Source organism: Homo sapiens, chromosome 8 (assembly GCF_000001405.40).
Source record: "Homo sapiens chromosome 8, GRCh38.p14 Primary Assembly".
Lineage (NCBI taxonomy): Eukaryota > Metazoa > Chordata > Mammalia > Primates > Hominidae > Homo > Homo sapiens.
Genome location: NC_000008.11, coordinates 94,340,311 through 94,355,140, shown reverse-complemented (window position 1 = coordinate 94,355,140; position 14,830 = coordinate 94,340,311). Strand labels below are relative to the sequence as shown.

Here is a 14,830-nt window from a genome sequence, read left to right as displayed (position 1 = left end):
ACACCACACCTGGCTGCCATAACTCTTTCTATCTTGTAAACCTGAAACTGTACCCACGAAATAACAACTCCCCATTTCTTCCTCCCCTCGGCTTCTGGCAACCACCACTCTACTGTCTGTCTCTATAATTTTGACTGCTCTAAGTAACTCATATAAGTGGACTTATACGGTATTTGTCTTTCTGTGACTGGCTTATTTCACTTAGTATAATGTTGTCAAGGTTCATCTCTGTTGTAGCATATGTCAGAATTTCTTTATAAGGCTAAATATTATTCCATTGTAGTGTATACCACATTTTGTTTATCCATTTATCTGTTGATGGACACTTGGATTGCTTCCATGTTTTAACTATTGTGAATAACTTCTATGAACATGGGTTTACACATATCTCAAGACCCTGTTTTTAATAATTTTGGGCATATACCCAGAAGTGGAATTGCTGGATCATATGATAGTTCTATTTTTAATTTCTTGAGGAACTTCTGTGCTGTTTTTCACAGTGGCTGTACCATTTTACATTCTTACTAACAGTGCACAAGGGTTCCAATTTCTCTACATCCTCACCAACACTTCTTATTTTCTGTTTTGTTTTTTTTTAAATAGTAGCCATTCTAATGGGTGTGAAGTAGTATATCATTGTAGTTTTGATGTGCATTTCTCTAATGATTAGTGATGTTGAGCATCTTTTCATATGCTTATTGGCCGTTTATATATCCTTGTTGGAGAAATGTCTATTCAAGTTCGTTGCCCGTTTTTTAATTGGATCTTTTGTTGTTGAGCTTTAGGAGTTCTTTATATATTCTGGATATTAATCCTTGTCAGATGTATAGTTTGCAAGTATTTCCTCTCATTCTGTAGGTTGCCTTTTTTACTCTTTTCATGCACAAAGTTCAAAATTTTTCTTTAAGTCCAATTTGTCTATTTTTTTTCTTTTGTTGCCTGTGCCTTTGGTGTTATATCCAAGAAATCATTGTGAAATCCAGTGTCATGAAGCTTTTGCCCTTCTAAAAGTTTTATAATCTTAGGTCTTACACTTAGGTATTTGATACATTTTGAGTTACTTTTTGTAAGTAATGTAAGGTAAGGGTCCAACTTCCTTCATTTGTATGTGGATATCCAGTTATCTCAGCACTATTTGTTGAAGAGATTATTCTTTACCCATTGAATGGCCTTGGTACCCAATTAAAAATCAATTTACTATATCTGTGAAAGTTTATTTTTGGACTCTTAATTCTAGTCCACTGATCTATACATCTATCCTGTGTCATCACCACATGTTATAATTACTGTAGCTTTGTAGTAAATGTTGAAATCAGGAAGTGTGAGTCTCCCAGATTTGTTCTTTTTTTGATATTGTTTTGACCATTCAGGACTCTTGAGCTTCTATTTGAATTTTAGGGTGGGGTTTTCTTTCTTTCTTTTTTTTCATGCTGTATTATCTTTAATTAAGTACAAAGACCTTTCTAACATGTAACTTAGAGAACATTTTACCCACTGATTTGGCTGCCAGTCTCTTGTCTCTGTCTTCAGCAGTGGCTGCCCTTGCCAATGTCAAAAATGTTGGAGAGCCTGGTGATAAAGCTGTTGCCATTGGCATCTTTCACATGAACCACATCAAAAGATCCAAGATGTCTTTTCTCTGTTGGTGATCACACCAGTTTGTCTCAGATTAGCACCTCCAGTAACCATACGTACGCTACCAGTGTCAAACTTGAGGAAATCAGTAATCTTGCCAGTCTACAAGTCAGTCTAAATGGGGTCATTCACCTTGATGAGGGAATCAGGGTAGCAGACGGTGAAAGCGTCATGAGTCACCAGATGAGGGATTCCTTTTGTGCTCACAAAGGTTTTTCTCACTTTGCACAACTTGTACTTTGTCTTCTGGGGTGTAATAGGATGAACAGCGAAGTGACCCTTAGTGTCATAGATTAGATGGAAATGCTCTCTGGTCTTGTCAATGCTGATGACATTCATGAAACCAGAAGGGTAGGTTATATCAGTTCAGACCTTGCCATTAATCTTAATGAACCGCTGCATGCAGATCTTCTTTTCTTCATCTCCTGTCAGGGTATACTTAAGTCAGTTCCTTAGGAAAATGATGAGGAGAGACTCTCAGCTTGTAGGGACCAGTGGATGTACAAGGAGCAAACATACCGGTTAATTCATCCAGCATCCAATGCTTTGGGGCTGCTGCTCACTTCAGGTGCTTCTTGGGACCACCCACACAGTGTAAAGTCAGGCCGTGCCAAAAAGACAATGATGAAGAAAACCTTTCTCTGGCAGGCAGACCCAGTGTTCACCTGTCCTGGACTTGCAGTCCATTTTTCCTGGCCCACCTGTAGCTCTGGTCTGGGAGGAAAAGCCATTTCTCTTGGGGTTGGAGGATGTTTGGCCAGGTCAGAGATAAAGTGCTTCCTGCCAGCGGCACCAGATCTGCCCCCACCCAGCCCCTACCCTAGCCCAGCATTTGCTTTTCTCCCTGGAGCCTGGCCTGGCCAACCACAGAGGCTGCAGTCCCTTTGCCTCTGCCCGGCAGTCCCCTGCCAGAGTCCCAAGACCTGAGACAGCCCCAGCCTAGGGAGGATAGAGGAAAATACGTCCCTGGATGGGTTTTTCTATTTCTGCCAAAAAAGTCATTGGATAATAGGGATTGCACTGGATCTGTAGATCACTTTGGATAGTATTGTGACATCTTATTAAGTCTTCTAATCCATGACTATGAGGTGTGTTTCTATTATGTCTCCTTTAATTTATTTTAGCAATGTTTTATATTTTTTGTTGCTTAAGTTTTTTACCTCCTTGGTTGATTCATAAGTATTTTACTCTTTTTGATGCAGTTTTAAGTAGAATTGTTTTTGTAATTTCCTTTTCCAAAAGGAACTAACTAGTTCATTGTTAGTATAGAGAAATGCAACTGATTTTTGTCTGTTGATTTTGTTTCCTGCTACTTTGTTAAATTCACTTATTAGTTCTAAGAGTGTTTTTGTGGAATCTTTAGGATTTTCTACAGATAAAATCATATCATCTGGGAACAGAGATCATTTTACTTCTTTTTTCCCAATTTTGATCTCTCTCTCTTTACCTAATTGTCTAGCTAGAACTCCAGTACTATGTTACTATGTTGAATAAATGTGGTGAAAGGAAGCATCCTTTCTTTGTTTTCTTTTTTTTTTTTTTTTGAGATGGAGTCTCGCTCTGTCACCCATGCTGGAGAGCAATGGCGCGATCTTGGCTCACTGCAACCTCCCCTCCTGGGTTCAAGCAATTCTCCTGCCTCAGCCTCTTGAGTAGCTGGAATTACAGGCATCCGCCAACACACCCAGCTAATATTTGTATTTTTAGTAGAGACGCGGTTTCACCATGTTGGCCAGGCTGGTCTCGTTCTCCTGACCTTGCGATCTGCCTGCCTCAGCCTCCCAAAATGCTGGGATTACAGGCATGAGCCACTGTGCTTAGCTTCTTTGTTTTCTTAAAGGAAAAGATTTTAGTCTTTCGTCATTGAATATGATATTCATTGCAGGTTTTTCATATATGGTTTTTATTATGTTGACATAGTTTCCATCTGTTCCTAGTTTTCTTCAGTGTGTGTGTGCGTGTTTTTAATTGTGAAAGGGTGCTGAATTTTGTCAAATGCTTTTTCTGCATCAATTGAGATAATCATGTGTTGTTTTTCCTTCATTCTGTTAATGTGTTATATTACATTGACTAATATTTGTATGTTGAACCATTCTTGTATTCCAAGAATAAATTCCACTGAGTCATGTCGTATAATACTTTTAAGATGCTGCTGAATTTGGTTTGCTAATATTTTGTTGAATATTTTTATATCAGTGTTCATAAGGGATATTGGTTTGTAGTTTTCTTATAGTGTCTTTGTCTGGTTTTTGGCATCAGAGTAATGCTGACCTCAAAGACTGAATTAGGAAGTGTTCCTTTCTTTTTAATTTTTAGATTAAAATTAAAGATCCTTCTCAAATCTTTCTGTAAAAATTAAAGAAAATTTTTTAATATTTAAAAATTTTTAAAATTTTTTAAAATTAAAGATTTGAGAAGGATTGGTTTTACTTCTTTAAATGTTTGATAGAATACACCCCTGAAGCCATCAGGTCCAGGGCTGTACTTTGTTGGGAGATTTTTGATTACTGATTGTCTCCTTACTAGTTATGGGTCTATTCAGATTTTCCATTTATTCATGATTTAGTCTTGGTATGTTTTGTGTTTCTAGGAGTTTGTCCATTTCATATAGGTTATTCAATTTATTGGTGTACAATTGTTCATGGTATTCTCTTTCAGTCTTTTAAAATTTCTATAGAATCAGTAGTAATGTCCTTACATTTCTGATTTTTATAATTTGAGTCTTCTCTCTTTTTTTTTCTTAGTCTGTTTGGCTAAAGATTTGTCATTTTTGTTCATCTTTTTGAAGAACCAACTTTTGGTTTCATTGATTTTTCTCTTTTGTTTTTCTCTTCTCTATTTATCTCTGCTTTGATCTTTATTATTTTCTTCCTTCTGCTAGCTTTGGGTTTAGTTTGTTCTATTTTATTTTTTGAGACGGACTCTTGCTCTGTCGCCCAGGCTAGAGTGCAATGGCGCGATCTCGGCTCACTGCAACCTCTGCCTCCCAGGTTCAAGTGATTCTCCTGCCTCAGCCTCCTGAGTAGCTGGGATTACAGGTGCCCGCCACCACGCCCAGCTAATTTTTGTATTTTTAGTAGAGATGGGGTTTCACCATCTTGACCAGGCTGGTCTTGAACTCCTGACCTCGTGATCCACCTGCCTTGGCCTTTGAAAGTGCTGAGATTACAGGCATGAGCCACCGCACCCGGCCTCTAGTTCTTTAATTTGTAAAGTTAGGTTGTTGATTTGAGATGTTTCTTGTTTTTTAATGTAAGTGTTTAAAGCTATAAATTTCTCCCTTAGCACTGCTGTCATTGCATCCCATAAGTTTTGGTATTTTTTTTTAAATTTTGTTTCTCCTGTAAATATTTTCTAATTTCCCTTGTTATTTCTTCTTTGACCCATTGGTGATTTAAGAGTGTGTTGTTTAATTTCCACAAATTTATGAATTTATGTTATTGATTTCTAACTTCTCGCTGTCATCAGAGTAGATACTTCGTATGATGTCTATCTTTTTAAATATAAGACTTAATTTGTGGCCTAATATATGGTCTATTCTGGAAAATGTCCTACGTGCACTTGAGAAGAATGCGTATGCTGTTGTTACATAGAATATTTTGCATATGTCTGTTAGATCTATTGGTTTATTGATCTAATAGATAATATAATATTATATATAATACAACATATATATAGTGTGTGTGATATGGTTTGGATTTATTTCCCCGCCCAAATCTCATGTTGAATTGTAATCACCAGTGCTGGAGGAGGGGCCTGGTGGGATGTGATTGGATCATGGTGTTGACTTCCCCTTTGCTGTTCTCATGAGAGTAAACGAGTTCTTATGAGATCTGGTTGTTTTTAAAAGTGGGTAGCACCTACCCCTTCACTCTTCCTCCTGCTCCAGCCATGTAAGACATGCCTGCTTCCCCTTTGCCTTCTGCCATGATTGTAAGTTCCTCAAGGCCTCCCCAGCCATGCTTCCTGTATAGCCTGTGAAACCGTGAACCAATTAAACCTCTTTTCTTTATAAACTACCCAGTCTCAGGTCATTCTTTATAGCAATGTGAGAATTGACAAATACAGTGTGTATTTATATATATATTATATATATATATATTCAATAGATTGGTTGGTTTTTTGTGTTGTCTAAGTCCTCTATTTCCTTATCTTCTGCGTGATTGTTCTATTCAATATTAAAAGTAGAATATTGAAGTTCCAACTATTATTGTAGAACTGTCTATTTCTCTCTTTAATTCTATGAGCTTTTGCTTCATATTTTGATGGTCTGTTATTAGGTGTGTAAATGCTTATAATTGTATTGAAGCTTTTTGAATATATACATGCATGTATATATTTCTCTCTCGTAATCTTTTTTGACTTAAAGTCTCTTTTGCCTGACATCAGTATAGCCCCCTCTGCTCTCTTTGGTAATTATTTGCATAAACTATCTTTTTCCATACTTTTGCTTTCCACTTATTTGTGCCTTTGGATTGAAAGTGAGTCTCTTATTGATAGCGTATATTTGGAGCATGTGTTTTGATCCATTCTGCCAATATCTGTATTTTGACTGGAGAGTTTAATACATTTACATTTAAAGTAATTATTATTAATTACTTCTGTAATTTTGCTACTTGTTTTCAATTTTCCTGTAGCATTTTTGTCTCTCATTTCTGTCATTGCTGTCTTCTTTTGTAATTACTTGTTTTTTTAGTAGTAAAAATTTTGAGTTCCTTTCTAATGTCCTTTTGTGTATAATCTATAGCTATTTTCTTTGTGGTTACCATGGGGATGACATTTAACATACTAAAGTTATAACGCTATTTTGAATTTTTACTAGTTTAACTTCAATAACACATAAAAACTCTGCTTCTTTATAGCTCCATTCTTGCCCCTTTCAGTTGTTGATGTTACAAAATTACATTCTTATACATTTTGTGCCCCAAAACATAAACTAATAATTCTTTTAAATGCTTTAGTCTCTTAAATAATACAGAAAAAAAGTTACAAACCATTGTTACAAAAATGCTAGCTTTTCTGATTGCCTGTGTATTTACCTTAGTTGAGATATTTATTTCTTCATATGTCTTTGATTTACTGTATAGAACTATTTAATTGCTTGCATGGCAGATCTAGCAGTAACTAACTCTCATAACTTTTATTTATCTAGGAATAGCTTATTAGGTTGGTGCAAAAGTAATTGTGGTTTTTGCCATTTTAAAAGTAATTGTTATTCTTTTTGAAGAATAACAATTCTTTTGAAGAATAACAACTGCAATTACTTTTGCACCAACCTAATAATTTCTAACTTTTTTAAAGGACAATTTTGCTGGATATAGGATTCTTGATTAACAGGTTGTTTTCTTTTAGCACTTTGACTATATTGGCCCACTACCTCCGGCCTCCAAAGTCACAGATGAGAAATCTGCTGAGAGTCTTATTAAGAATCCATTTTATGTGATGAGTTACTTTTGCTGCTTTCAAGATTCTCTCTGTCTTGAAATCATCTTTCTTGGAATTAATTGAGCTTATTGGATGTTTATATTCATACCTTTTATCAAATTTGGGAAGTTTTCAGCCATTATTTCTCCAAATATTCTCTTTGCCCCTTTTTCTCTTTCTTCTTGTTTAATTCTGACAATGTGTATATTAATCCACTTGATGGTATCCAACATGTCCCTTTGGCTCTGTTCACTTTTCTTCAACCTTTTTTTCTTTCTGTTTCTCAGACTAGATAATTTCCATTGTCCTGTCTTCAAGTTCACTGATTCTTTTTTCTGCATGCTCAAATCTGCCTTTGAATTCCTTTAGCGAACTTTTAATTACAGTTATTGTACTTTTCAGCTTCAGCAATTCTTTTTGGTATCTTTTTAGGTTTTCTGTCTCTACTGATATTTCCATTTTGTTTATCATCATTTTTTTGACTTTCTGTACATCTTCCTTTAGTTTTTTGGGCATCTTTGAGACAATCGTTTTAATCATTGTCTAGTAGCTCTTCCATCAGGTCTTTTTCAGGAACAGTTTCTGTTGATGTATTTTTTTTCTTTTAATGTGCTAAACTTTCCTGTTTCTTTGTATTCCTTTTGATATTTTTGTTGAAAACTGGACATTTGAATCTAATAATGTGGTAACTCTGGAAATCAGATTCTCTGGAAAACTCCTTTTGCCAGGGTTTGCTGTTTCTGTTATTGTTGATTTATTTATTTTTTTATTGTGGTAGGTTGTCTCTTTACCAAGGATCATCCTGAATATTAAACTTAAGGTTTTCTCAGGTCTTCTCTGAGCTTGTACCCTTCCCTGGACATGTGTGGTCACTTTCTCATTTTTCTGATGCAGTTGTTTTTGAAAGTCATAGTCTTTAAAGTCTGGATCCAAAAAAAGACAAAAAAGAAAAGTGAAGAAAGAAAAAAATGGTGCTGGCCTTTTAAATCCATTGAAAGTCACCTCAGCTGGAGGGGGAGGGGCTTGCAACAATGAGAAGGAGTGAAATAGCAATGGTCACCTGCCGTTTGTCTGCAAATCTGTGATCAGAAGCAGCTATCAGTAATCTGAACACAGATCCCTAGTATTTGGAGAACAACGCTTGTTTTGCCCATTCTGGCTCCAGCAAGCTGTGTAAGCTGCTCCAGCAACACGTACACAGCTCTCAGCTATGGTTAAACCAGACACATTCTGCCAGTATAATTGTTGTCTAGGTGGGAAGACAAATTTCTGGTGCTCCCTACTCTGCAATTTTTCCAGAATACTCCCCCTCAATCACTTTTTTTTTTTTTTTGCTTTATTTTTCTTCACAGCACTTAACTATCTATCATAGAAATTTGTTTTATTTTTATGTGGTCCATCTTCCCAATACAATGTGAGCTTTGTGTGGTTGGAGACTTTGATGTCCTAGTCATTGCTGTATCCCCAGCCTGGAACAGTGCTTGACACATTCTAGTGAGTATTTGTTGAATAAATTATAGCCACTACTCATATCTTTCAAATGTTAACATTTTGCCATATTTATTATAGATTTTTGGAGAGAAAGAAAACGATACAGATAGAGTTGAAGCCTGCTCTGTATTTATCTCCAGTCCTATTACCCTTTTTTCTTCTCTGAGTCAATTACTGTCAGAGGTTTAATGTTTAACAGCTTTATAAATGTTCATATGCTTTTATTGCACATTTATGTAATATAATTACTATCTATAACTATTTGCTTTTATTTTTAAATTTCATGGTAAATGTGTATATAAAAATAAGTAATACATATATATGTTTGCAAATTGTCTTTTAAATAAATTTTTATTTGACAAATAATAATTATGTATATTTATAGGGTATAATGTGATATTTTGATACATTAGGGAAGGATCAAATCAGGGTAGTTCACATATCCATTACCTCAAATGTTTATCACTTCTTTGTGGTGAGAACATTTAAAATCCTCTCTTGTAGCTGTTTTGAAATGTACATTATTATTAACTATAGTCCTCCTGCCATGCAATAGAATACCAGAACTTCTTTCTCCTATCTAACTATAACTTTGTATCCACTGGCCAATGTCTTTCCTTTCCTTGTGTTCCTTCCCACTTCTTTTTCACTCAGTGAAAGGGATTTACCCATGCTGACATATGTAGCTCTGGTTCTTTTTTTTTATTTTTTATTTTGAGACGAAGTCTCTCTCTGTTGCCCAGGCTGGAGTGCAATGTCCTGATCTTGGCTCACCGCAACCTCTGCCTCCTGGATTCAAGTAATTCTCTGCCTCAGCCTCCTGAGTAGCTGGGATTCCAGGCACCCACCACCACACCTGGCTAATTTTTGTATTTTTAGTAGAGATGGGGTTTCATCATCTTGGCTAGGCTGGTCTTGAACTCCTGACCTCGTGATCTACCCACCTTGGCCTCCCGAAGTGCTGGGATTACAGTTGTGAGCCACTGCACCTGGCCCAGCTCTAGTTCTTTCATTTTTACATTGGGTTAATAAACCACAATTCATTTATTCATTCTCTTGTTGGTGGACATTTAGATTGTTTCCTTTTCTTCTGCTATTAAATACAATGCTGCACTGAAAATACTAGTACCTATCAGAAGTGAATTGACTGTGCATCTTCATTTTTATCAAATGTTGCCAAATTGCTCTGTGAAGTAGGTGCATCCCAGAAAGATATGAGAACTGTTGTTGCTCCACATGAGTCCAACACTTAGCTCTGAGAAACTTTGCAGTTTCCAGTCTGATGGGTATGAAAGGAAACCTTATTTTTGAATTTTCCTGATTACTAATTAGGATAAGTATATTTTCCTGTGTTATTTGTCATTTGGATTTCCTTTTCTGTGAATTGCCTGTTCATTTATGTTATCCATTTCCTTGTTGTTTTTTCTTTCTCTGATTGATATATAAATTTAAACTTTTTATGTTAATTTTAATATTTAATGTTAATATTTATTTAATATTAATTTAATATTTTGTATTTGGTTACTAATACAGATATTATATATTCTTCCAGAGGTCTGTTTTTTATGTATAAAAGTCTTAAATTTTAATACAGTCATTTGTTTGTATATATTTTTAGAGTATGGGATTTTTTGTTTATGTATTTGTTCATTTATTGAATAAATCTTTTCTTGCCCTGGAGTCACAAAGAGATTATTCTATAGTTTCTTTGAAAACTTTTAAGTTTTATATTTCATACTTAGTTCTTTAATTTACCTGGAATTTATTTTTCCAAGTGACATAAAATGGGAATCTGGATTTTTTCCTGCTTGAATAATGAATTGCCCTAATAATATTTACTGAATAAATGTATCCCTTCCCCCAGACTGGAATGCAATGCTACCGCTGTCATATTTCAGTTTTCCACAGTTGGAGAGATAAGTTCCACATTTTGTATTTTTAAAATATTGGTTTATTAGTCTAACTCTGACTATACTCTTTTAATTAGCATGACTTTATAATAAGCCTTGATACATGAGTGGAAGGCCTTACTTGTTTGACTTATAATTTGTACCCGTTCTTGGTCTTTGGCTCTTTTTTTTTTCTTTTCTTGAGACGGAGTCTCACTCTGTCGCCAGGCTGGAGCGCAGTGAATTTCAGCTGTGAAGCTAACAGAATCATTGACATTATTTTTTGGCTTCTTATTCTCTATTTTAGTCAATTTTAATGGTAGTAAAAATGTAGTAAGAGTACATTTGAAAAGATGATCTTATCACCCCAAAATGCATTATGTGTTTGTGTATTTTCTTGGATTCTGTTTTCCATACTGAATTTTAATTTTTACTAATAAGCATGGTTGTTTCTTCCTGGCTAGGACAGTTTCTTACTCCAGTCCCCCTCTATCCTGCACTGTTGTCCCTCACCCCTTAATTTTCTTCTTTCTGCTTCAATAAATCTTTGTACATCTTTAACAGCTCAGCCCCACCAAGTGTTCTGAATTATATCAAGAAATCTTTGTTTGCAGCTATTTAATTATAGATTTTCTAAAAATGGCCCACATCAACCTTTCTCCCAAATCATAGTGGATGAAACCATGTTATAATGTTTTGTTTGATCCTTTGAGCTGACATAATCTTTAGACTTAATATTGTGCCTACATCTTTCCCAAATCTTGAGTAAAACAATATCACTGATTCTGAGAGTCATTACATCTTTGATAAGTGTTTTTTGTGTACAGTGAGGTAAGTTTCTTTTTACCCTGAGATGCCATAATTCTCAGGGTAATTGTCTTACCCTATAATTACCCTATAATTGTCTCTTTGGCTGTTGGTAGGCCTGCCAGCTGTACAGACCCATAAAATACTACAAAAAGCCTTAAAACTTCTACTTTCCTTCCAAGTGCCAATGAGGTTACCTTGTGTCTTAGGATTTATTTGTTTGTTTTTAGTTACTTCTTAGAAGTCAGGTGTTCCAGGATTTTCTGTATAGGTCAGCATTGGTATCGTCTACCTCTATTAAATAAAAAATGTGATTTTAGCTGATGTTTGGAACATACTTTATAATGTGGATAACATTCACAGAAGTCTAGAAATATAAACAAGTCCTGGCAAGATGTTGCTAGCCAATACCAAATTTATATTTTTAGGGGGTGCTGCACTGGACATGAGCTCTCCTTCTGGGACTCAGAGCTTCACTTGCCTCTACTGAAAAGCCCAAGTGTTCTGATAGTCAGATTGGCTCAGGTTCATTCCCTCTGAGAGGATTTCCGTGTCTCCCTTGGAATGAACCCAGAAGAATGGAATCCAATTTTCTCCTCACAGCATTGCCACAATGTGCTCCTTCACCACTGACTCAGGTTGGAAATCTCAGGCTGCTGCACCATCAACCACAATTTTAGGAGCACTGCCATGCCCTGTGGCCATGAGCAAAGATCTGGGGCCCACAGATCTTTTTATTTGGGCCCCAAGCTAGCAAAGTTGATTAACTTGTGCCTATGTAGACTTTTGATGGTTCCTGGGCTTCAGAAACTTCTCCTGTAAATGAAAAGAATGATGTTTAAATTTAATGTTGATACCAGGCTGCCTGCTCCTTTTTCCATCCAGACCCTGTGAAGCACATGCCATTAGACGATGGTGCCAGATAACTCTCTTTGTTGCTGCCCTCTACTCTTCCTAGTTCATACATCCTCATTCACTGAGGACTTGATCACTTGGGTCATTGTCTATTTCCCCACACTACTTCATTGCCAGACAGGTATTCAGTATCTGTTTATGCAAGTTTCTCTCTTTTTGAAATTATGAAATACATTAAACATACAAAAAAGTATATAGTGCAATGTCATAGTAACTACTGAAGGAATTAACAATCTGCCACCCCAAAATATGTTGCCCTGGTACCTTGACCATTTTGAGCTAAAGGCACATGAAAAACAGCAGATGTAAGAAGATCACTCTAACCTTCCCCACTCAACTTTTCTTTAGAGAAGGGGTCTGCTCTGTCACCCAGGCTGGAGTGCAGTGGTGCGATCATAGCTCACTGCAGCCTCAAATTCCTGGGATCAAGCGACCCTCCAACCTCAGCCTCCCGAGTAGCTGGAATTTTTTAATTTTTATTCTTTGTAGAGATGGGGTTGTGCTATGTGGACCATGCTGGTCTCAAACTCCTGGCCTCAAGGGATCCTCCTGCCTTGGGCTCCCAAAGTGTTGAGATTATAGGCGTGAACCAACACACCCAGCCCTTCCTTCTGTTTCTTTAATGGAGGAGACACAATTCCTATGTGAAAGTTGTTCTCTCCACATAAGAAGGAAAATATTCTTATCATCAAGGATGGGCTTCTCTACCCAATTAACTACCCTGCCCAAGCCCCTTTGCCTTGTCCCAGTTTCATAATTTACTATTTTTTGTCCAGTTCAGTATGTAAGTGTTCATTGAACTCTACCTAACTGCTTCTTTGAGTCTTTATTCTTCATGAAGGCTCCAGTGCCATGTAAAATTTATATTAAATAAATTTGAGCTGGGCGTGGTGGCCTGTGCCTGTAGTCCCAGCTACTGGGTGGCCTGGGGGCAGGGGGTGGCATGCTGAGTTGGAAGGCTGAGGCCGCAGTAAGCCATGATCATGCTACTGCACTCCAGCCTGAGCATCAGAGCGAGATCCTGTCTCAAAATAAAATAAAATAAAATAAAATTTAAAAATTGAATGCTTTCTCCTGTTGATCTGTCTTATGTTAATTTAATTCTCAGGCTCAGCAGGAGAACCCTGCAAGTAGTGATAAAATTTTGCCTCCCCTACACTACCTGTGTACCTATCACACAACTTTACACAGTCATAACATCTTGTGTTTGTTTCATATCTTCTTTCATTAAGAAATAAAAGCTAACAAATATGGTGAACCTCACTCGGATTTCATTTCTCTACCCAGGAATCATTAATGTTCCAAATTTGGTATTTATCATCCCCATGAATGTTTTTTTTTTTTTTTTAATTTTTTTAGTATTTATTGATCATTCTTGGGTGTTTCTCGGAGAGGGGGATTTGGCAGGGTCATAGGACAATAGTGGAGGGAAGGTCAGCAGATAAACATGTGAACAAAGGTCTCTGGTTTTCCTAGGCAGAGGACCCTGCCGCCTTCCGCAGTGTTTTTGTCCCTGGGTACTTGAGATTAGGGAGTGGTGATGACTCTTAACGAGCATGCTGCCTTCAAGCATCTGTTTAACAAAGCACATCTTGCACCGCCCTTAATCCATTTAACCCTGAGTGAACACAGCACATGTTTCAGAGAGCAGGGGGTTGGGGGTAAGGTTATAGATTAACAGCATCTCAAGGCAGAAGAATTTTTCTTAGTACAGAACAAAATGGAGTCTCTTATGTCTACTTCTTTCTACACAGACACAGTAACAATCTGATCTCTCTTTCTTTTCCCCACATTTCCCCCTTTTCTATTCGACAAAACCGCCATCGTCATCATGGCCCATTCTCAATGAGCTGTTGGGTACACCTCCCAGATGGGGTGGCGGCCGGGCAGAGGGGCTCCTCACTTCCCAGACGGGGCGGCCGGGCAGAGGCGCCCCCCACCTCCCAGACGGGGCGGTGGCCAGGCGGGGGCGGCCAGGCGGGGGCTGCCCCCCACCTCCCGGACGGGGCGGCTGGCCGGGCGGGGGCTGCCCCCCACCTCCTGGACTGGGCGGTTGGCCGGGCAGGGGCTGGCCCCCTCCTCCCGGACGGGGCGGCTGGCTGCCCATGCATGTTTTTATCCTATTACTGTATATGTTTCTGTCCATAAAGTTTTTATAATATTGTTTTGCAGGCTGTAAAACTTTATATAAGTGTTATAATTCTGTAATCTTTCAACCTGCTCCCACACTACATATATTTTTAAAAGTATCCATGCTGACACTTGTAGCTCTAATTTTTCTTTTCTTTTTTTTTTTTTTTTTGAAATGGAGTCTCCTGTCTCACTCTGTTGCCCAGGCTGGAGTGCAGTGGCACGGTCTCGGCTCACTGCAACCTCCGACTCCCTGGTTCAAGTGATTCTCCTGCCTCAGCCCCCTGAGTAGCTAGGATTACAGGCATGCACCAACATGCCCAGCTAATTTTTGTATTTTTAGTGGAGACAGGGTACCATGTTGGCCAGGATGATCTCAATCTCCTGACCTCGTGATCCACCCACCTCGGCCTCCCAAAGTGTTGGGATTACAGGTGTGAGCCACCGCGCCTGGCCTGCAGCTCTAATTTTTCATTCAATTGTATGAACATTTATTGAACATTATTCAATTGTATGAACCACAATTTATTCATTTTTTT

At 37.5% G+C, this 14,830-nt stretch overlaps 1 pseudogene, besides 1 other annotated feature; it reads right to left on the bottom strand.

The window, feature by feature from the left end:
• Positions 1,426–2,220, bottom strand: RPS4XP10 (ribosomal protein S4X pseudogene 10; annotated as a pseudogene).
• Positions 13,454–14,103: an enhancer, noted in NCBI's record as "OCT4-NANOG-H3K27ac hESC enhancer chr8:95353266-95353915 (GRCh37/hg19 assembly coordinates)". NCBI's record gives its function as "activates a minimal SCP1, AML or CMV promoter by ChIP-STARR-seq in naive H9 embryonic stem cells {active_cell/tissue: H9 hESC(naive)}" and the evidence as "EXISTENCE:reporter gene assay evidence [ECO:0000049][PMID:30033119]".